General features: G+C 44.5%; 1 protein-coding gene across 4 annotated transcripts; it reads left to right on the forward strand.

Annotated features, from left to right (window-relative positions):
• Positions 1–24,068, forward strand: SERP2 (stress associated endoplasmic reticulum protein family member 2). 4 transcript variants are annotated; one of them, XR_007063679.1, is made up of 5 exons: positions 1–111; positions 353–463; positions 5,995–6,067; positions 16,711–16,932; positions 17,780–20,541. XR_007063679.1 is itself a non-coding variant. In NM_001346980.2 (4 exons), the coding sequence occupies exons 2-4, from the start codon at positions 380–382 to the stop codon at positions 23,664–23,666; spliced, it is 198 nt and encodes a 65-aa protein (NP_001333909.1). In that variant the 5' UTR covers positions 1–111; positions 353–379; the 3' UTR covers positions 23,667–24,068. The 4 variants fall into 4 exon arrangements, 2 of the variants coding, with proteins under 2 accessions (NP_001333909.1, NP_001010897.1); NM_001346980.2 differs by lacking the exons at positions 16,711–16,932; positions 17,780–20,541 and adding an exon at positions 23,626–24,068; NR_144535.2 differs by lacking the exons at positions 1–111; positions 17,780–20,541 and adding an exon at positions 23,626–24,068 and having other exon boundaries at positions 178–463.

The raw sequence follows: 24,068 nt of genomic DNA on the forward strand, positions 1-24,068 counted from the left end.
AGCATTCGGCTACAGGACCGCGACACTGCAGGGCCCCGGCTCTGCGCGCTGCGCTCCGGCCGCTCGGCGCGGGAGGACGTGCGGTCGCGCCTGCCTCGGTGGCCGCGCGGGGTAGGTGGCTGCGGGGACCGGAAGGATGGCGAGGAAGTCGGAAAGGGTTTCCTGAGATGAGAGATTACTTCCGTCCGGGCTGCGGCCTCTCTCTGGAGTCGGCTAGCCGGGGCTCGGGGAGCGGGGTGCGCAGGGCTCGGGGCCACGCCTTGCCACCTGCAGCGCCCGGGTGGGCCGCGGGGGCCTCGGCGGGACGCGCTCGGCCCTGTCGCAGGAGCTAACGCAGGGGGAATCCTTGCAGGTGGGAGCATTTCAGAGCGCACAAGCCATGGTGGCCAAACAGCGGATCCGGATGGCTAACGAGAAGCACAGCAAAAACATCACCCAGAGGGGGAACGTAGCCAAAACCCTGGTAAGGCGGGGTCGGCGCCGGCCAGGCAGAGCCCTGCAGCCCGGCGGGGTGGGGCGGAAGGTGGGGGCGGGGCCGGGCGGGTAGCGGCGCAGGGTCCGGCCTCCCGGCTCCCGGCCCGCCCCTTCTGCGGGGTCCTGCAGAGTGGGGGCTGAGAGCTGGGTTCAGGGCGGCGCGGTCTGCTTGGCGTCCTCGTGGGCGGAGAGGGCCCTGGTTGGTCGTGGCCCCTCTGGGAGTGGCTACCTGGGCTACCAGGGAGGCGCAGAGGAGCCCTCCTCCCCGACCCGCACCCCCTGTCCCCCTGCCCGGGAGACAGCTGGGCCTTGTCCCGGAGAAAGACGGAAAGCCTCATCCTTAGGGGCCAGTTAAGTCAACTGCATGACACAGAGCCTGGAACCTAGTATGTTCTAGAACGTTGCATGACACAGAGCCTGGAACCTAGTATGTTCTAGAACGTTTGTTGAATGAATGAATGAATCAATGGCTAAATGGAGGCCACTTGTCATCTCCTCCCGGACTCCACCTGTCTTCCCTCCCCAACAGACTTGCACCAGGATCAAGTTTTCTTTCCAGCCCCTTTGTGACGGTTTCACTGGAGGTGTGGAAAGAGCTCAAAATGGGGAGTGAGATTTGGACCCACATTCCCTCCAGCCTCTTTTTTCTCTTTTACCTCTCTTCCAGCGAGACCTCCCTCAGCCCCTAGGCTAAAGTCTAAGGGCAGCATTCCTATTCTTTCCACTTGGTGAATTCAGACTCATTCTCATGGTATAACTTTAGAGACCAGTTTATTGTCAGGCATTCGGTGTCCCTAGAACTGTAAATTCAAGCTTTGCAACTGGACTTTTAAGTAAAACCTGTGCCTTACACTCAGGAGTTTCTTTTAGCAAAGCAGATTATCATCAACAGAAAATGCGAGGCCTGTGACTTTGGACATTCAGAGGCATGAGTCGCATGGGTAGTTTGGCGAAGTTGGTCTCCAAGTATATGAGCAAAGGCGCCTGGGATCTGTTACCCCGTACAGTTAAGTGGAAATCCAGCTGAAGCCTGGAGTTTGGCTGGGAAAGCTTGCAGATTTGATGAATCAATTCCTTTTAGCCAAAGAAACTATATTGGTTTGATTAACTAAGCAAAAAGCTAGATCTGTAATCATCACACCAGAATTCTTGCAAAACCAAGCAGTATTACGGCAGAGAAACTCTAGGACCAAACTCAACTCTACTCAGAGCTTTATACACAAGTCTAAGCATAACTCAACTCTACTCAGAGCTTTATACACAAGACCTAAGTAATCCTTAAAATTCTCTCATTTAGGAATTATATCACTCAGTTGTGATTAGGCAGCAAAATGCCAAGATGCCATCAAATTGGAACCATTTTGTCACATTGATTTATGTTTTCCCTATTTTTACTGAGGAAAAAAAAATGGCTGCCCGGGTTGACATTGAGAAGCAACTTATAATTGATGTTAAGGCATGCAGGGTTTTATATCCCTAAGAGATCAATTCTTCCTTCTCAAGGGATCAGACCTGCTAACTGACACAGTGAAAAATAACTAGTCATGTGGCTCTTTTTCATGAACTAAAAAACCGGAGTTCAGTTGTCAGATCTCAGTTGACAGCTTATCTGATTACAAAAGTAAGAAGAAAACAAGAACTAATTTCTAAGGCTGTTGTATCTATTAGGTTCTGTAGACTCAGTGTCTGCCACCTCAAGTTCTTCAAGAAAACTAGAAAATGTTTGGGACCCAAAACAAAAATTATTAGCTCCAAAATAAAAGAAGAAAATGGAAAAATTGGGAAAACATTGTTTAAATACCTAGAAAAGGTACCAGTCACCTGCCATTCAACTCAATGTTCAGAGCTACATTTAAATTATATTTAATGTACAGTATGAGTTCATTTTAATATGCTCTGATATGTCATGGGGTGGCCCCCAAGAAACTCTCATAGTGCCTTGCACCTATAAGAGTTTTTAAATGGCCCAGCTAAATTTGTAATGAAAGGTTTCCAGACCAAGCCACAATCAATGTTTGCTTTGCATTGGTTGGGGGGATTTTGGTTAATGTTATTGTAAATAGATTACTATCCAATAGAAAAATGAAATTTTCTTTCAAAGAGAAACTTGATAAATCCTAAATCTCATGTTCTCAATTACAAGTCAAATATGATTATACTTTGTTAAAAGTAACTTGCAAAAGATCACTATTCAGGATGAAATTCATTAAATGGGAACAAGTATAGATTCCAACTGAAAATTCAGACTAATTGTTCAGAAATAAACTTCTTTAATTGTATGCAGATGCTTCAGTATTTTATTATTAGCTAATAGCTTACGGATAAATTAATATTATTCTCCCAGATAGCAGACTAATCCAAGAAACAAGGCCGGGCGTGGTGGCTCAGCACTTTCTGTAATCTCAGCACTTTCGGAGGCCAAGGCGGATGGATCACCTGAGGTCAGGAGTTCGAAACCAGCCTGGCCAACATGGCACAACCCCGTATCTACTAAAAATACAAAAATTAGCCAGGCATGGTGGTGGGCGCCTGTAATCCCAGCTACTCAGGAGGCTGAGGCATGAGAATGGCTTGAACCCGGGAGGCAGAGGTTGCAGTCAGCCGAGATCACGCCACCGCACTCCAGTCTGGGTGACAGAGCAAGACTCCGTCTAAAAAAAAAAAGGAAACAGAGAAATGGAATAATCATTTTGTGATTATACAGTAGTAACTTCTCCAGAATGAAGGGGGAATTTAAATTTCAGAGTTCTGAGTTACCCTACGGGTATCTTAATCACAGGGAAAGCCATTCCCTGACATTTTTGGAGCCTCAAGAAGTAGCAAACTCATGTTTGGAGTAAACCATGTCATTTGCAGAATCACTACTAGTTTTCCCCACCTTTTCCAGCCATAGAGTAAGGTTTATGTGAATTGTCCCAATGGGATTGTGCTGGGCACCCCTTCTAAAAAGTAGTCACCCAAAGCTGTCAAAAAAAAGATATATGGGTACTATGATCAGCCAAAGTCCCCAAATCATGTTGATTCCATGGAGAATGTCATCCAAAAGGTTTTTGTGTTATATGGTCCAAGCTCTACATGCTGATCATCTGTTTTTTCTGCATATGAAAAATAAAGGACTCTATTTGGTATCTGTCCTGGGCAAGTAATTCATTACAGGCTTCTGAATTCACTTATTAGCTTTGCTGGAAATAGAGATAAAATGAATTTTTTTATATAGCATCAGTGGCACAACAGCAACAGAACTGGTTTCTGGGCAACTGTGACAAGTTCCTGGGAAGGTGGTGGAAGAGGGTGGGAAGGGCGAATGTCACACTTTGTTCAGGTAGCTTTATGAATGTTGTTTACCGGATCTGAACTTGGCCTGGCCTTAAGGGCCAAAAAATGGCACAGTTATCTTATGCAATTATTTAAGACTGATCTTGTCCTCGTCTGATTAAGAGCAGCCACCGATTCCTTTGCAGTGTGACTTGCCGGCATGTAAGTGGTGGTAGATACAGGCTTAGTCAAGGACAGAGAAGTGAATGTCTTAATCCTTAGTCAAAGTCTACCTGCCGTTGACACTTTAATCCATATTTCTCATGTAGGAGAGATACAGGGATAATCCTACACCAATTAGGAATTATTACTAAAAAGACAATATCCTTCCTAGAACCTGTGTTTACTCTGCCTAACCTAAGAAATCTTATTTAATGAAACTTGTATGTTTATTTGTTCTTTGATGAACGTTTATTATCTCCTATGTTTAAGTTCTGTGGCAGGCATTTCTATATATTACTACATGAACAAGACATAGTCCCTGCCCTTGTGGGGTCTGTAGTCTCATAGAGAGACAGATATTAAACACATTAATTATCACAAGAATAAATATAGACCTACAAACTGTGACACATGCTATCAAGAAAAAGTATGTGGCCATACAAGTGACGAGTGGACCCAAGTGAGGTAAAAGAGAAGGGCTCTTTGGTAAGCTGAAAACTAAAGAACTGTTGCCTTATCTATGATAAAATAAATTCCTTTTTTAGATGAGAAGCCAGTTTACATTTACATTAGCCTAGAACTTAATTTTACATATAAATACAACACATCATAGATTTTACAGTTTTAATATATGATAAATTTTCTAGGAAAGCAACTACAGTGAAAATCAAAGGAAGATTATCCTTTTTTAAAGAAGTTTTTGTTAGAAACATTACTAAAACTTGTTCAACATTTCAAAAACTTACATCCTTGATGATAGCACCACTCGTTTTTTTTGAAACACTATTACATACCTTCAGTCTGAATGTCAAGCTGTGGTATTTGTATGGATATGAACATACCTTTTAGCCCATATTTTACAATGTTGAATACAATGTTTAAATGTCAACAACATTTAATTGAAATCTGGAATTGGGTTTTATGAGATCAACCACAAATCAATACTTGTGAACATTCCACTCTACCAACACGTTTTTCTTTGTGTGTTTTGCATGTGAATTCTTTAACGTGTGTTGAATGCAGCCTATTTTTCAAGCTAATCAGAAAATAATTAGTGAGTTCTTTGTTGTTGTTTTTTTTTTCACTCTCCCATTCTATTTGAGAAATTCACTTCTTTTCTGATGCATCTCTCAGAAAATATTTGTTGTTCTGACTGATTTGGGTTTAAGGACCAAGCCCTACCTGCACATAGACCTGGAGGTGTTGTGGAGGGAAGATCTTATTATGTCTGTGCTTTTGGTTTGAAAAAGCAGGAGGTCTGTAGGGCTTCATTCATGCAGTTTTGACAGTCCCCTTCTGCTTCCCAGAGAATTCAGAGACTTCTCCCAAGTGCAAGCTTTATTAAGGCTTAGGAGCTTTATTACAAAATGCTGCTTCACTCATAACCATTCACAATTGCTGTGGTGCTTCTGTTGTTGCAAGGATTTCCACTGTACTGACTTCCTAATTTGGGGTTATGTAAAAGGTTTTCAGAAAATGTCTGTGCTCTCTGATCCTGCTTGGAATTCACAGATGCAAAAACTAAATATTGAATCTGTTAATGGAAAATACTCAGGCTTTATAATGAGGCAGACCTAAATTTGAATCCCAGCTCTTGCTCAAGTTAACAAACTTTGAGCCTCAGTTTCTCAACTCCAAAATGGAAATAATAATACTTGCCAGAAATAATGAATGCAGACTGCCTAGTGTAGTGCCTGGCACAGAGCATTACTCAGCAGATGGAAAGTTATTATTAATATCATTTTGGTTCCTAAATCGCCATATTGGTTTATGTATTCATACCATATCTGTCCCCAGAATATTTAAGACCACCAAGTTCACTGAGTTACAGGGATGTTAATAAGGTTATGGATGAATTTTTACAAACCTGTCTCAATCCTTTTAATGGACTTCATTCATCTATATCTGTCCACTGAGGGATTGAAACCAAGTCTGTCTCATTCGCAGTAGAATCCCCAGCACCTAGCACAATGCCTAGTGATACTCAAATAATTGTTTATTGAGTCAATGAACCTAATCTTACTTTTTCCCATTCCCTTTTAGAGGCCGCAAGAGGAGAAATATCCTGTGGGACCATGGCTGTTGGCACTGTTTGTTTTTGTTGTCTGTGGCTCAGGTATGGGTGTTTCACTGAACTTATATCCCATGTTCTCCACTGGCCTTTGAAAAACACACGTTTTCTTCACAAAGCAAATAGATGAAAAACATACTGGTATGGGATTCAAGTTTATCACTGCCTTAAGCCTTAATCTTAATGGGTTTTGATTTAGTTTCTATTCCAAATATAGGTAGAGACACAATTAATACACTATCAAATCCTAATCATAAAATGATTACACTGAGTAGTTAAAGTGGCTGTATACACTGTAGAGTTCAGTAAAGTCTTTTTGTGCAGACATAGCCTTAAAAGGGCATTAGAACAGAAGGTGAAACACCTGTGTGCCTGTGATAAATCCACATTCCGAGAAAGGGAGAGGCCTTATGCCTTATGAGAAAGTTCTGCAGAGCTCCTAGATACAACTTCCTAGATACAACTGAGCCTTTGACCCAAGCCTTAAGGTATGGGTCACCTGATACTGTAAGGTGGCAAGTTGAGAGCTTTACTTACACACATGCAGATACACACATACACACAAATGCAGGGAAGATGAGCAGAAGCATCGTGCCATTGTTTCTAGTTACATGCTGAACTAGCCTTGACATGGTTCCTGATCCCCATATGTTGGGTCTCAGAAATCCTTGTGAGTGGAGGTCACTTCTTCTAACTACACAGCATGCCTTGAGGGATTCCCACCCTCCAGCATCTCACTGTTACTGAGGGCAGGGAGGCAGAAGGTCCACATCTTCCTGCTCAGGCTTAGGCCTCCCAGCAAGACAGCCTCTGCCCCAATGACAAGAGAAGCCCATGACTAAAGATGAATCATGCATTCAAACCTAAAATCATGAAAATTAAAAAAAAAATTTAAGATGGATCAGTTCCTTTTATCTTCAAGAGACCACTCTTCCAAAGAAGCAAAAACTCTTAGGAGGAAGGAAGGATCCAAAGTACTTGGCATTATTGTTGCTTGTGGCTCAAATATTTTAAAGATGATTTGGCATTCCAAGATGAGAAAATCTTACACTCAAAGAAAGACAGTTCTACTCTATTCCCAAAGAAGTATCTTTAAGGACATCTTTTAAACAGCTGTTTACCCAATCCCTATTTGAATACTTCTTCAAAAAGCCTATTCCATGTCTGCTGGAATTCTATTAGAAATGTCTCTCCTGTTTTGAATTACACTATGCTGTCTTCTCAGTTGTTCAGATTTGAACTCCTAGGGTAACACAGAATGGACTCGTTCTCCTCTAAGCACCTTGAATCATCAGATATTTTAAAGATGACTGCCTGGTGGCTCCTTCTGCAAACTAAGCTTCCCTAAATCTCTCGACCTTGCCTCATAAGATGTGGTTTCTAGACTCCTCTTCTGGATCTGCTCAATGACTTTCTTAAAGGGTAGCATTTGGCAGCGCATGCCTGTAATCCCAGCTACTTGGGAGACTGAGGCAGGAGAATCACTTGAACCCAGAAGGCAGAGGTTGCCATGAGCCAGAGATCGCGCCATTGCACTCCAGCCTGGGCAACAAGAGTGAAACTCCGTCTCAAAAAAAAAAAAAAAAAAAAAAGCCAGGCGCAGTGGCTCACGCCTGTAATCCCAGCACTTTGGGAGGCCGAGGTGGGGAGGATCACAAGGTCTGGAGTTCGAGACCATCCTGGCCAACATGGTGAAACCCTGTCTCTACTAAAAATACAAAAAATGAGCTGGACATGGTGGCACGCGCCTGTAGTCCCAGCTACTCAGGAGGCTGAGGCAGGAGAATCACTTGAACTGCAGAGGTGGAGCTTGCAGTGAGCCGAGATCGTGCCACTGTACTCCTTCCTGGGCAACTGAGCGAGACTGCGTCTCAAAAAAAAAGTATAGCATTTGCAACTGCAGAAGGTGGTCTAGAAGCAGTGTGACCACCACAGAGGCAGTAGGATTGTCACTGCCCTTGATTTTGCTCACCACTCTGCCTCTATTAATGTGACCCAGGCTTGCAGTTACTTTTTAACAGTTGCAGCACATCCTTGACTCACGTCTAGCTGATGGCCAGCCAGATGCCACCCAGCTCTTCCTCAGATAAACTTCCTGCAACCCCGGAAACACATCTACATACCCCTTTATCCCAAGTCTCTCCTGTCTCCATCACATATTATTTTATTTTACTCATGACCCTCATCAGCAGTTGCAGTTATTTAGTTTACTTACTTAGGTTCATTTCCCTCCAGTAGGATATAAGCTCAGGGGAGACAGTGTTTATTTTTCATTAAATTTGTAGATCCTAGTTTAGTATTTAGCACATAGTTAGTGCTTAGGATGGATGGATGGATGGATGGATGGATGGATGGATGGATGGATGGATAAAGCCAGATATTCCTCATACTGTAGATATCTAGTTGACCTTTTTTGAGACCTAATATAAAACTTTATGACTTTTTTTTTTATTCTCAAAGAAGAACGATTACTTCTATTAAAATTTTAGGCTGGGCGCGGTGGCTCACGCCTGTAATCCCAGCATTTGGGAGGCCGAGGCGGGCGGATCATGAGGTCAGGAGATAAGACCATCCTGGCTAACACGATGAAGCCCCGTCTCTACTAAAAATACAAAAAAATTAGCCGGACCTGGTGGCAGGTGCCTGTAGTCCCAGCTACTTAGGAGGCTGAGGCAGGAGAATGGCGTGAACCAGGGAGGTGGAGCTTGCAGTGAGCCGAGATTGTGCCACTGCACTCCAGCCTGGGCGACAGAGCGAGACTCCGTCTCAAAAAAAAAAAAAAAAAAAAAAGAACAAAATAAAAACAAACAAAACTATGCCTTTATCATACCACAGGAAAATCAAGAAAATAAACCTGTACAAAAAAGTTAGCTATGTTTTCAGGCTGTATGACCAGTCTGTAGATTGTCAGACCTTGAACTTTAAGCCTCTGATCTACTTACCCTTTTTTCCCAGTGTTATGGTCCCTGAAAATATATTATTCTTCCAAGTCACTGATAAAAGTCTAGACTTGGAGAAACCCACAGAACACAATCAGAGACAACCTCTTTCAGGTTGACTTTGAGCCTCTAAGCAAAACTCATTCAAGCAATCATCATGTCTTGAGGGTCCCCTCTGTGCCTGGCACTGTGCCGGGCTTTGGAAATACAATCCTGTTTGGGTACTTGCAGGCATTGGGAGAGGCAGATAAGGAAGCTGTCAGTTGCAGCCCAGGGAAAGCGCACTGCGATAGTGACAGCAGAGTTTACAGGGTGCTTGGCTGGCATGGATAAGGAACTTCTAAATCATACTCAGCAGAAGAGAAAGTTTCCAAGGGGAGGTGCTGTTTGAGCGGAGTCTTGAAGAACAAACAGCCAGACAAAGGGTGTGAGGAAGGTGATTCTGCATGGGAACACTATGTGGCGGTGGCATGGTGGCTTCAGAGAATGTGCTGGGCTCAAGAATATAAGGTGCTCAGAATGGCCAAAGCCTACTCTCAGGCATCCCTGAGCCCCGTGACCATGCCACCTGTATTGTCAAGGGTCTAAGTAGATAAAGATATATATAGGCTTCAAGATACACAGTAACTGTGGCCTTCTCCAGTCTGCCCCCTTAGGCAGCCTATAAGGGAAAAAGCCAGTAGAGTCATTTGGCGTGGCTTATTTTTCTCAAACCCATGCCAACTCTCAAAACCCATCTCTTCCTTTTTGGAGGGTTTAAAAAACTATTATATGGCCTAAACTTTTGCCTGGCTTACCAGCCCATGCAGCAGGACCTGTATCTTTCCCTCTTGGGTAAATTGGGACATTTGCTAACAAGCATCTTTTAGAACTCTCCTGGTCTCCAGCAGTTTCCTAGGGATTGAGTATGTTAGCTCCACCTCTCTGGAGGTTTGCGTTTTTTTTGTTTTTTTTTTTTTGAGACAGAGTCTCGTTCTATTGACAGGCTGGAGTGCAGTGGCGCAATCTCGGCCCACGGCAACCTCCACCTCCCAGGTTCAAGCGATTCTCCTGCCTCAGCCTCCTGAGTAGCTGGAACTGCAAGCACGCACCACCATGCCCAGCTAATTTTTTTTTTTTTTTTTTAGTAGTGACGGGGTTTCACCATGTTGGCCAGAATGGTCTTGATCTCTTGACCTCATGATCCGCCCACCTTGGCCTCCCAAAGTGCTGGGATTACAGGCATGAGCCAATGCGCTCGGCCACCCAGGGCTCTTTCAATGATGCTGACTTAAAGCTTTCTAGTTATAAAGCCATTTTGCTTTTATGGAGAGGTTAGACATGAAATGAGAGTTGAGCCATCTTACTTTCTCTGTCTTCTATTAACATGCTATCGTGATCCCTAAGCAATGGGCCTCATCTCTTTTTTAATCATAACTAAAAATAATTCACCACCACCTTTTTTTTTTCTTGCCAACTTTAGCAATTTTTTTGCAAGCCTCAGCTCAAGTCGGGCACTGTTCTCACAGAAATGTGTCACTCTTCTCAGCTTGTCCTTGGTACTGTGCCCTTCCTTCTATCTTTGTACTTGTCCTTTTCTAAACAGAACATGTCATGGGAAACACAATAGCTCCTTTAGATCCGTCCCTGTTGCCACCTCTCTGGAATTAGTCACGATTCATTTCTTCTTGCAGAACCGACTATTCCCTCTAGAGTTTATCCTGTTTTAGGGTCACAGGCCATAAGTGCCTACCCTTCTTTTCTCTACATTTAAACGAATGTGCGGTCCTCAAGTCTAGCCCATTTGTCAGCTGCTTTGCTTTAGGTAATTAGCTTTCTGGTAGGTGCTGGGATTGTTGAAGCTCTCATCGGTGGTCTGTCTCACCTCTGTTCCAGCTTTGTAATCTGAAATAGGAAAATCCCCTACATCTCACATCTGCCTGTTTGCAGCACGCACACCTGCACCTGCACACCTGCCCTGGCCTGCAACACTCAGGCCAAATGCACTGGAGTGTCTTGTAGGATCTCCACATCTCTGCAGACAGATAGACCCTTTTCCTATTCCCTTCTATTAGCTCTCCTTTGAACAAGATACACCCCTATGCCAGGCTCAAGTTCCATTTCACCAAGTTCCAGTGGGACCTTGGAGGTCATATGGCCTTTCTTTGCATTCATGTGGTTGGTTACTCTTATTTTGTATGTTTTTATATAGATGCTAAGGAAAAAGGCGAAATCTTCTAATATTAATAAAGATGTTGATCATTGATGTGAGTCTCTTGAAAGTCTCACTTGCTTTCATTACCTTACTCTATTAACCCACTTTTCTCATTGGTGATTGGTTGGGCAAAGTGCTCTTTTTAGAAATAGTGCCAGTGTACCTAGGGTAAATAAATATTCAGGTCAGGCAGACAGTAATGAATGCACATTTTATCTGTTTTTCTGGCTGTCTTCTGGGAAAGAGTTAGGACTGGTAAGAAGCTGGCATTTAAGTATGTGCTCACTTATTGGTCACCCTTTCTCTGTTTTATGTGGAAAAACAGGTTAACAAGCCTGTAAAAAGTCTACAGGACCCCTTTCTTATAGACAGTTGTGGGTCACTGCCATCACTTGCCTCCTGCTTCTCAGCTTCTCTCCTGTGGCTTCCTCCTCCTCTGCATGTGCCTTTCATGCCTGCCATCCTAGTAAGAGCAAGATAATGAAAAGGAAGGAATGAGGACTGGGAGAGTAGTGAGGGGACACAGTCCAGGCACCCAGAGACCCCTGGCATAAACACGCACTCAGGGAATGCCACCCCTCACTGCAAAGCCAGATGGGAGCAACAGACCTCCCGGGGCTGCCCCACGCCCCCCAGATCTGAGCGCACCCAAGCCCTGTTCTGTCTTAGGCACTTGGTGGAAACCTCTAATACATTGTCCTGGTGAGAGGGAGTTTGGGGAGGTTATCTAAATACATCCTTTTCAGAATAAGCAAATTTCTACTTTCCATGATTGCAAAAGTTGTCTTAGGCAAGGGACTGCTTTGAAAACTGACCAACTGGCACTCAGAATAGGAGGCCTCTGAAGGGAGGATAGTTTCAGGATCTGCCAGATGTCAGTTTTGAGCCTAGATTCACTTTTGTCAGCTGAATGACCTTGGACAAGGTATTTACTCTTGGTATTGATTCCCTTATCAAGAAAATGGGGATAATGAGCAGCCCTCCCAAGGTGTCCTGGCATTGAGCAGCTCTGGGGATCTAAGTACAGGCCCATAGCAAGCCCAAAGCCTGCAGCTACAGTCACCACCACCTCTGTCCTTGTAGCCCTCATGGGAAACAGGGGCACCACGGGACCATCGGTTGTGCTGTGGGGTGCTTCAACTCCCACATGCCTTTCATCCTTCCCGGCTGCATGTTCAGTTGCAGACTCGACCTCTCACACTGGTCTCAATCTATCAGCAAGCCATGAGCCCTGCCTCTTCACTCCACGGATGAGTGGGAGCAGTGTAAGTGATAACACTTTGGATGCATGAGGCTGTTTTCCCATGTGATAAAGCGTCAAGTCTTCCCCACAGAGGGAGAAGGAACACCAATATGCAGACCACAATCAATGAACAGCAGTTTGTCCTTTAATTTGAATGTCAGGAAAAAAAAAATGTGAGTTTCATTTCCTTAAAGCAACCCCAATCCACCACTCTTTTGCTGTAAAAGTTATCTTTATGAGATACAAAAGCTTTGGGAATAGTATATTCTTCTGAGACACGGTATTATCCAATTAGAACATCTCAGGGCTGTATCTTGTTTCATTTTGTTTAATTTGATAACCAGTGTTTTTTTTCTTTTTTGAGACAGTCTCACTGTTGCCCAGGCTGGAGTGCATTGGCACCATCTTAGCTCACTGCAGCCTCCACCTCCTGGGTTCAAGTGATTCTCCTGTCTCAGCTTCCCAAGTAGCTGGGATTACAGGCATGCGCCACCATGCCCAGCTAATTTTTGTATTTTTAGTAGAGACAGGGTTTCACCCTGTTGTTGAGGCTGGTCTCAAACTCCTGGCCTCAAGTGATCGGCCCTCCTCAGCCTCCCAAAGTGCTGGATTACAGGCGTGAGCCACCACACCCAGACGGCTTTGTTAATATATAGATTATTTAAGAAATCAAAAATCCATTTCTTAATCAATACCTGTTATGGGTCTGCTCAGATTATTAACCCAAATAGGCCAGAAACTTCTTGTCAAACCTTAGCCTGGGATTTTGTTTTGCTTGAGTCTGTTTAACTGGCTGGATTTGCCTCTACTTGATCTACTAGGACCCAGATCCACATCGAAGGCCAAGGGATTTCAGTGCCCTCATAAGAGACTTTGCCCTTTTTTTCTCTCCCCTTTTAATACAAGTATTATCTTCCATTTCTGCAGGCAGTGGGGCCTCTTTCCAGATAAGCAGCTCATCCTGGCTCTGCCAGTCCCGGGTTTTGAAACCTGCCTCTTTGGAGAGCTGTTTGAAAGCTTCTGAAGAATGCTTGCTTTTATCTCAAGACTCAGAGGCAAGCATTAGCTGGAATGTCTGTCTGAGACCGTTCCCCACAAAGATACTGTCACACAGATAGGTCAACTGCTATCTTCTCAAGGCACTTGCAGACTTGACATGCTTCCCCAGCCCATTCATGGACCTAGTCACTGCTGTTTGTGCCCAGAGCCCTCTCCTCTGGGCGTTTTCTTTTCCTTTTGTCCCCAGCTCTTGTATGAGCCTTACTGAGAAGGACTCCCGGGCTATACCAATGCTTAGTGGGAAAGTGGGCTGCAGTTGATTGGTAATGTCTGTCCTGAACACAATATGGCTGGCAGGGCCACGTTCTCATCTTTGCTGTCCTTAGCCTAAACTTTTTATAAGGTTATTGCCACGGTATTCACAAGACAGCTGTCTTCGGCATTTCCAGCTTTCCTCTTTGACCAGAATGCCTCCTGGACTTGGTGAAATGAGGTCTTTTCCTTAATATGCTACCTGTTTGGATAATTTTATTTAGAGTCAGCCTATACATGTTTCTTGTGGTCTCACAGTATTATTTACCTTTTCTGAGCTCTGGGTGTGATACCCTACATTGACAGGATGCAGCAATCTGAGATGCCACTCTTTGCAATACGGTTGTATTTCTCTCTGTCCTGATGTCTCAGTGATAATTTCAGGCAGCATCAATGGAGTCACCATCTAATTCCCATCATCCTTTGACTCTCAGAGGGAAACTCTTAAATACCAGCCATGCCCCAGTTCCATCCCTCAGACTATTTCTCCCTCATGTATTCCTAATTTCAATTTTATTTCTCTACTCTTTCTCTGGCCAACCCTGATATTCATTTCCTAATTAGAGATTATGAGAATTTTAATGGTGACCAAAGCCTGGCTATTCTTGAAACTGACAAACGTTTATTCCCATCAAAGGGAAACCTCTGGGGTAACAGGATTAACTAGTGACTGTTATTTTCTTCACTGTTTCCTATAGTTTCCAAATTTGTCAATCAGCATATATTACTTTTATAAGCAGAAAAAAATGTGTTTAAAAAAAATCTAGACTAGTGGTTTTTGGTCTTTTTTTTTTTTTAAGCTGCAGAACTTTGTTCAAATCTTAGAGGGAAATAAATGAAACAGCAGCTGTTCTGGTTGAAGTGAAGTCTGTGTATGTTTCTGTTTGCATTTGTGTGTGTGTGTTTGTATATGTGGGTTTTTTTGTGTGTGTGTTTGTTTCCATGTATGTGTATTTGTGAATGTGTATGTGTTAGTGTGTTCATGAATGTGTATGTATATGCATGCATATGCATGCTTGCATGTCTGTGTGTATGTACAGTATATCTCCCTATGTTGCTGGATATTATGACTTTCTCATCGCCAGAGGGGAGCACACATCTAGACTCTCTTTGCCCATCAAATAGGAAATTGTGCCTGGCTCCAGGGCTGGCCTCTGTTATTGCAGAGTTAATGCCTTTCAACAAAGAGCCTGTGAGGTTTATCAGGCACCATCCGTTGGGAGTCGCTCTGCCATTTCTGTGCAGGGACATTCCTTTCGTCTGTCAGTTAACAGGCGGCACTTTCCCCCTGTATTCTCCAGGGCCTCTGCCTGCTGCGGGTTGCGGGAGGGGAGTGAGATCATGTCACAGACAGGTCCTTTTTCAGGACAGCCTTTTCAGAACAGATGTGAAGAAGTGATTCTCTGAGATGTCCTTGGCAGGGCCTGAATCCTCCCATTCTCCCAGCCTTGTGTTTTGGATGGTCCAGGTCTCTCCCTGTATGAATGTGCTGGAGGCCTCTCCATTTCTGGAAGGGCCACACCCAAACTTTCCCCAGGACTGGCTGTTCTGTTAAGGATGGTGAGGAAGAAGAAAAGTACAAGTCATACACATGCCAGGGACATATGGGAGGCCAAAGAGACACTCTTTTCAGTGCTCTCTCCTCCCACTCCCTGTGTGGCCACAAGTTTTGTGGCAAAATGTCTTTGAGCCCAAAGGTTGAGGAGCCAGAATGAAGCCTTTTGCAACAACTAAGAAACGTTTCTTTGTGAAATGTTAGGTGCTCTCTGAAATCTTTTGGGGACACAAAATTTGAGGAAGGTCTGTATTTTGTGGCGTATTGGGTGAAAGCCACCACATTAGCATGTGCACATGCCATAGGGAGGAAGTTAACATGGTTGCTAAGAGCTACAACTTCAGGGCCAGACTTTGTGTATTTGAAACCACCTACTAGCTATGTAGCCTTGTCTAAGATACTTACACCGACTCTAAGACTCAGTTCTTCTCTTCTTAAAAGAGGATGGTACTGGTTCCTAACTCCTGAGACTCTCAGGACTATTAATCCTGAGGATTAACTGAGACAATGCATGTGGAATGTTTAGTGGAGTGACAGTATTGGCTTTATAAGTGTTTGCTGTTCTTGTAATTATGTTTATGGTCTTGCTCACCCTGCCTTCCCAACTCTCCACCTCCCTGGGAAGGTCCTTACTAAAGCTCTGAATGCTTAAGAGGGAAGAAATAAAATTTTGCCCATTTTCGTAGCTTTGCTTTTTGATGGTGAGAAAATTTGTAGTGGGTGAGCATAGCACTGAGATATTGAGGAACCTCCATGAGCCGAGACCAGCAGCCCCCCTGGATAGATAAAGGATAGGGTTTGTAAACCAGAGAGTCAGTGGTGTCACCTCTGCAGGGATAGCTAGAACCTCTCTAAGTCTAGAAAGAATTCTTTATAAACTAGCCCATGAGGGTGAGAAAGATCTGTTCATACAACTGTTTTGGCTACCATTTATTGAGGACTGACTACTTGTAATGCCAGGCTCTACACATACATCTCCTCCTCTGGTCACACAGTCCCTGCAAAGATGCCATTACACTCATTTTTCCAAATCACGAAACTGAGGCTCATAGAGGAATTTGGCCAATGTCCCATAGCTAAAAAGTGAGAGAGATAGTCCCCTAACCTACTTCTTTCAGACTCTAAAACCCATCTGTTTTCCATTACCCTGCATTCCCTCTTACTGTTTCCCTAGAAGTTGTATGGAGCAAAAGTTTTCCACCAATTTAGGCCTTTAGCATATGACTGTGTATTGAAAAAAGCTCCTGCTAAAACATCCCCTATTTTTCCTGCCAGAAAAAGTGTGTTTTCCAGAGGTTCCTGATGTGCAGCCATCCTGGGTCTTGCTCCCAGATGGAGAAAGACTTGACCCAGCCACAGGCTGCCTCTTGGTTGGGCCACCGGTGTCCCCACCCACCCGCCCTGGACACTTGCTCCAGGACAGACTTGAATTCGCCATATTTGCAGGTCAACCACATAAATTGGCCTCTCCTGGAGACTGCCAGAACTTTCTCAAAGTTGTAACATCCAGAGGGAGTCACCCCACCCCCAAGACCGGCAACTGAGATGTTTAAAGGAACTGGCTGGCCCTGAAGGAAAGACTGAGGCCATTCATCTGCTCTGGAGTTCATCCTCGGGATCTGAGATGCACAGCCTGAAGACATCTCATCAGCCATCAGCTCCCTTAAGGTGACCTGCAGCCTCCTTTGTGCCCTGGGGGCATTTGGGATTGTGTAGAGGCTCTCTCTCAGAAGCATCTTTCTGTTATTTTAATGCGGATAGAAAGCTTTACATTCTTTGCTAATAACATCTGGGTTTTAATAGCGCCTCCTTGCCCTGCCTGTCTCCGGCATCTCTCTTTTTTCCCTCTTCTCCATCTCTAGAGAAGCCACCAGAAAATGGCATCTTGCTTTTGACTTTCTTTGTGCTGATTCTTTTAGAGAACTTAGTGATCCACTTTGCAATGTCTCGTCTCCTAACATTTCAGCTTGTTTCTCAGAGGGCCTGTACTTTGCTTTCTACCAGCTCTTTCATCATTTTCATTTTCTTTAATGAAAAATAAGCAAAACTGTATGATTTCTAGGTTGTCTTCTTCTCCTAAAGGATATTCTTCTTCCGGCCTCTCTTAATCTCTCTTCTCAGCAACTCCCTTGATCTCTTTTATCATCAATTTATTGTCAATAAAAGTGGCTTTAGGAAGCCTCCTGTTACCTGGCAGGGTTCCAGCTTTCTGACACTTTCCTATGGGACCCACTTGTTATGTCATCCCTGTGTCCTTCTGGCACTCCCTCTTAGCTGGGGAGGGTCAGTCCCCAGGGTGAGAGTCGGTTGGGATGGCCCATTATCAGGCCTTTAGGAGTTTATAGTCTTGTACTTCCCCTTCGAAGACTGAGCTTTAGAGACATTTGGATCTAAAGGCAGCCATTTGATGCTGACTCTTTGGGTTTGCAAAGTAGTCATTTGAGGTTTTTAAAATGTAATTTCCTCTGTGCTCTTTGCAATCGTTCACTTTTCAGTAATTCAATAATATTTACAGAGGACCTACTTTGTGCCATACCTGGTCGCTGTTATCCTGGAGCTTATAGTCTAATGGCAAAGAAAGATGAGTTAATCAAGTAATCACACCAAAACACTTTCAATTCAGCCATGAAACTGTACAATTTCAGCCATGAAACAATGTAAAGGAGAGGCACATGGGGCTATGAAATCATACAATGCAAAGGACTGGTGTACTCTCAGGTAAGTGGTTCTCAAAGTGTGGTCCCTGGACCGGCATCTCAACATCTCCTGTGAACTTGTTAGAAACACAGATTCTCCATCCCTTAACTCCAGGGTTTGGGGGGAAGGTGTCCAGCATTTGTGTTTTAACCTGTCCCCAAGAGACTGTGATGCATGCTCAAGTCTGAGAACCTCTGCTCCAGGTGATCAAAGAAGGCTTCTCTGAAGACATTAAATTTTGGTTGATGAAGGAAACTAGGGAATAGGGTGGGGTAGAAGTATTTCAGACAGAAAGAATGGCATGTGTAAAAGCCCTGTGGTCTCACTCCTGTAAATCCCAGCACTTTGGGAGGCCGAGGCGGGTGGATCGTGAGATCAAGAGATTGACACCATCCTGGCCAACATAGTGAAACCCCGTCTCTATTAAAAATACAAAAAAAATTAGCTGGGCATGGTGGTGCGCTCCTGTAGTCCCAGCTACTCAGGAGGCTAAGGCTGGAGAATCGCTTGAACCCGGAAGACAGAGGTTGCAGTAAGCCGAGATCGTGCCACTGCTCTCTAGGCTGGTGACAGAGTGAGACTCTGTCTCAAAAAAAAAAAAAAAAAGCCCTGTGGTGAGAGCAGGAGAGCAGGGAGCTTTTGAAAACATGAGGGAGTACCCCAAGCAAGGAGAAGAGTGATACAAGGTGAGTCTGACAGGTCTGGACAGGGACCATGATGTGCAGGTCATGAAGGCCTCATCAGGGATTGGGCAACGGGAAGCTTTTGATGTGCAGTAAACACGGGAGTGACAATATATTATTTGCTTTTATTGAAAGGATAATTCTAGCTACAGTATGGAGAAAGGATGGAAGAAGAGCAAGAGTCGAGCACTGGGAGGGCCTCACTGGGGTCTTGGGGAGGATGATGGTAACTTGGACTAGGGTGGCTTCTGAGGAATGGAAAGAAGGGTGCATAATCACAAGATTCCCAGGTAAAATCCACAGGTCTTGGTTATCAATTGGAGGTGTCAGGAAGGACTGTGGTGTTTTGAGTCTACATCCAAGATGGAAGATAATGATGCCAGTTTTAGCAGTGGGACGAGATCATGAGAAGGTCCTGTTGAGTCCGAGGTACCTCTGAGCCACCCAGCTGTAGATATCAACTAGATAGTGGAAGGTGTGCTGGAGCTCAGAGAAGTCAGGGCTGGAGATACACATTTGTGCATCATCAACAGCTAGGTGGCAATTCAAACTGTGGGCTGGGAGGCATTGCCTAAGAAGAAAGAACGTAAGGAGAAGAAAGCCAGTGACGTTCATTGCAGAATGTCAGCGCTTATGTTTAATGGTCAAGTGGATTGTTTCCTCTAAAACAAGTTTAGAGGAAAGATCCAAGAGAAGGAGGAAAATTAGAACCTAGAAGACCATGGTTTCACAGAGGCCAAGGGAAGAGAGTTTCAAGCAGGAAGTGCCCAGCGGGGGTGAGCAGGGGGTAAGGCAAAAGAAGGTGGAAGAATGCCTGTTACACTAAGCGACTCAAAAGTCATTTGTGACTTTAGCAAAAGATATTCAATGGAGGGAAGAGAGCAGAAGATAAAATGAGGTGGACTGACATGAGAATAGCAGGTAAGAGAGTGCAGAAAGTGAGCATAGACAGCTCTTTAGAAATGGTTGTGAAGAGGAAGAGAGGGCCCTGTGGATGGAGATGTGGAGTCAGGCAGATAGCTCTGGTGTATTTGATTTTTCAGTGGGAGTGCTCCTAGCATGTTAAAGCCTAAAGACTTTGTTGAAAGGGGTGCTGAAAAAAGAGAAATGGTATCATCTAAGGTTACCAAGGGCCAGGATCCTTGACACAGGTAGGAGGATGCAGAGGCTTCGTGGGTCTGGTAGCTCCTGCTCTCCCCTGGACTTTTCTGAACCTCTGGGACCTGCCCACGCCCTGATCGCCTGCCCTGGAACGCCTGCTGTCCCTCCCTTTCTTGGCATCTCTCCTCCCCGCTGTCTCGCCTGCCCACAGTTCCTCTCCTGCAGCCTGTTCTGCTGTTTTCTCAGCTTTGTTCACCCACTGTTAAGTTATTAACTTGTCAGGGTCTAGACTCCCCGCTTCCTTTCCCTCTTTTGAACTCACTGCTGGCTCCCTTCCCATTTGCCGCCTCAGAAAGTCAGCATTTGGAAGGCTGAGGTTACTCTGCAGGTCAGTATTGGCAGGTACACAGAATTACAGTTAATATAATTAGAATGTGTAAGTTTTCTTAAAGACAATGATACAACTGAAAAAGAAATAATAAACACAGTCATCTCTCTGTTATCTTGTGGAGGTAAATGGTGAACTTAAAAAAATAGACTTTATTCAAAGTAGTGTCTCCAAGAAGGTTCATCTGTGAACATGTTAAGGATCGCTGGACTCTTATATGTTAATTCATGGATTCAATTATGATCAGGAATGATCCTCAGTTTTTAAAGCAAACTCAAAGAACTAGGTAAGTTGTTTTAATATCAGTGTCGCTGTTCTGAGACGTGCAAACTTTATCTTAGATTCTTTCTATTATTTTTATTTATTTATTTTTTTTGAGACGGAGTCTTGCTCTGTCACCCAGGCTGGAGTGCAGTGGCGCAATCTCGGCTCACTGCAACCTCCACCTCCCAGGTTCAAGCGATTCTCCTGCCTCAGCCTCCCAAGTAGCTGGCACTACCACACCCAGCTAATTTTTGTATTTTTAGTGGAGACGGGATTTCACCATGTTGGCCAGGATGGTCTCAATCTCTTGACCTCATGATCTGCCCACCTTGGCCTCCCAAAGTGCTGAGATTACAGGCATGAGCCACCGCACCTGGACTGTCTTAGATTCTTTAAAGAGATTTGTAACAGTTCCTTCAAAAAGAATTGCATGGTTTCTTATTATTACCTCGAACTTTTGAAGTTATGAATTAACTTAATATGGGGGCTACATGGACTAAGACACAGATGGTTTCCTATTTGTTGACTTACATCCTGCTGATAAGTTTTTGTCTAAGGGCAAGAGTAAGCGAGAAGTAATATTTTTGAGCATCTACTTATGTCATCGTATTTATTCCTTGCCATCCTTTGAGGTACCTATTATCCACAGTTTTATAGGTAGAGAAAGCAGGGCTCAGAACTGTGTAGTAATTTCCCAAAGTTCACAGCTTTGTAGGCTGGCAGATAGTGCTAAGCACTGGTCTGCATGCTGGGACAGGGAGAAGCAGCAGTTGTTGTAGTCATAGTAACAGTGATGATAGCAGTAGCTACCAGGCAGTGAGTCCTCCATGTGTGAGGACCCTTCCTATATGTCATATGGTTTAATCCCTGTGACAGCCCTGCAAAGGCCATGATCCTCATTTTACAGAACAGGAAGCAGCCTCTAAGAGATTAATTATTTGTCCAGTCACACAGCTTTTCAGCAAAGAGCTGATATTCAACCCAATTCCATCTGATCCTAACTTTCTGCTCTAAAGTCAACTTGTTCGTCAGGATTAGCGATAGTTCCCTGATCACAAGAACAAAGTCTGAGGCATGGTAGAAGTAATCTTTTTTTTCCTAATGTTGAATATACAGCTGCCTCCTGACATTCCTATTGAGCCAGAATACAGAATGTTTATTTAATTTTTACTCCTTGTGAGCCTTGGTGGGGAGGAAAGAAACATCAGATATTTCTGCAAGCTTATAAATTGTTGTAGGGTACTTTCTCTTCCAACTGCTCCTGTTAAGACCCACCCAAGGCCGGGCACGGTGGCTCACGCCTATAATCCCAGGACTTTGGGAGGCTGAGGTGGGTGGATCACGAGGTCAGGAGATCGAGACCATTCTGGCTAACACGGTGAAATCCCGTCTCTACTAAAAATACAAAAAATTAGCCGGGCATGGTAGCGGGCACCTGTAGTCCCAGCTACTCGGGAGCCTGAGGCAGGAGAATGGCGTGAACCGGGGAGGCGGAGCTTGCAGTGAGCCGAGATCGCACCACTGCACTCCAACCTGGGCGACAGAGGAAGACTCCGTCTCAAAAAAAAAAAAAAAAAAAAAGACCCACCCAAGAACCCAAACTTAGCTAAGAAAATATCTGAGCACATCCAGAATTAAATATCACAAGTTGTTGGACCAACACCTTCACCATATCTACAGATGAGTCCCTGACACTCACATGGAGCTGATTGACTCTGATTTGACTCGTAATTCTAACAGTTTCTGTTTTCAGCTTAGTCTACGGCAACAAAATAATAGTACAGGACCCACTGCAGATTGGTGTAGTAATACAAGAGATGTGACCAGAGATGAGAAGAAAGAGACCCAAAAAATGATCAGAAGCAGAAATGGGAGCCCAGAAGTGCAGCTGACCAGAAGCATTTCAGTGTCAGATCACACGCAGCCTCCTCTGTAATGAGATCACAGCACGTCTCATCAGTTACTGGTTTTCATTATGGTGACACTGAACACTCATGAAAAGTTAGCATTGAAATATGTTGGTATCTCCAATTTAGAAAGGTAGTGATGATGGGTACAGTGTTTTTACGGGGAAAAAAAGCCAAAAAATGCATTCATGTTTGTCTACTCTTAAAACCCAGCTGTCCAAGAACGATTCCCCAAGGCCCTGTCCATCATTTCTCTTTCTATCCTTGAAGCGCAGTGTCTGACACATAGGATGTGCTCATTGATGCCAGATGATGAAACTTGAATGGCTGGTTTCCTAGGGTTCTGGATAACTCTGTTTTACCGTGGATCCTGGATGTATTCCAGGATGACTTTAAGAAGGCGAGAAGGGGTAAGACCCCTGAGAGCTCAGTGTTTATTCTGTTTTTACACATGGTTAGATGAGATGATACCCACCCTCCTTCAAAAAAAAAAAAAAAAAGCCATTCAATACATGGTAGTTACTCTTATCATTACCATCATCTTTGTCAACACTGACCACGGTTGCTCACTGGGGAAGATGTGAAAAAGAAGTTGGGATCTTCCGCTCCTGGGACACATTTGAAACCCAATAGCTGGAAGCAGGCTGAAGCTATGTAACCAGCTCTCATCCACATGGGCAAGGGTCCCAGGAGTTCTCTGTGGGCTTACAAGCTACCCACCCCCTTGACAACTCCAGTTATTAAAGGTTGAGCCCTGAATAAATAAGTGCCGCTCTCCATAAGAGACAGCCGCCTTTCAGAGAGTTCCAAGCAGCTGGAAGATACTCACGCATGGAGGGTTCTAGGCAGACAGAGGCCGGGCCCCGTGGGCTGCTCCGAGCACCTGGTCGGCCTTCCCAGCACAGGGCTCATTGTTTTACAGGTCACAGCCATTTTGAAAAGGCAGACTCACTGACCTGTTTAATGAGTGCAGTTTCTGCACGAAAGCCCATATCCCTCTCCCAGGCAGCCCCAGAACTTTGCTGGGGAAGGGGGCCAAATCTCTTCTCAGTGCCTGAGGGATTTCTGGCCTTAACTGCTGGTGGAATTAGCAGGAGTTATCTATAAATCCCTGAGGCATCCATCAGCCGACTGAGCGAGGCTGCCTTTTTAAAGAAGTTCACTGACCTCTTGTTAACTTAACTCCTTGTTAGGAAATATCTAATCAGCTGTGAGCTAACACGTCAGGGCCCAGGGGTCTGCAGAAGCCGGGCTCACTGTGGGCTGGGTTTCCAGCTGTGTGCAGTCTGGTGTCTGAGCTGTGGTGTTTTCCTCTTTTCAGCTATCTTTCAGATCATTCAGAGCATAAGGATGGGCATGTGAGAAAGCCAGGGATTTGACACCACCTCCCTCCCACTGGAGGCGGGAGGACAACGGAAGCGGTCAGCCAGTTTCTGCGGGAAACAAGCAGGCCACACGGAATAGAAAAAAACGCTCCCCCACTTGTTCCCTGATCACTTCATCGTGGATGTCAGACCAAATTGCCTTCTCACAGGACATCTTGGTGCATCCGCGTTCTCAAGCGGAAAGGACATTTTGCTTTTCTGTTGGCAGGATTAGTAGCCACGCGGGTCGTCCGCAGCAGTGCTGTTTTTTTGGTTTTTCCCTTGGTTTCACTAATGCGTGCATGTGGCCCTCTGAACGATCACTGGTTTACTTTCTATGGATACAATCTCTCCTCCATTGAGAATTGATTTTACAAATAAATGTCTTCGTTCAACCTTA

This window comes from Homo sapiens, chromosome 13 (assembly GCF_000001405.40).
Source record: "Homo sapiens chromosome 13, GRCh38.p14 Primary Assembly".
NCBI lineage: Eukaryota > Metazoa > Chordata > Mammalia > Primates > Hominidae > Homo > Homo sapiens.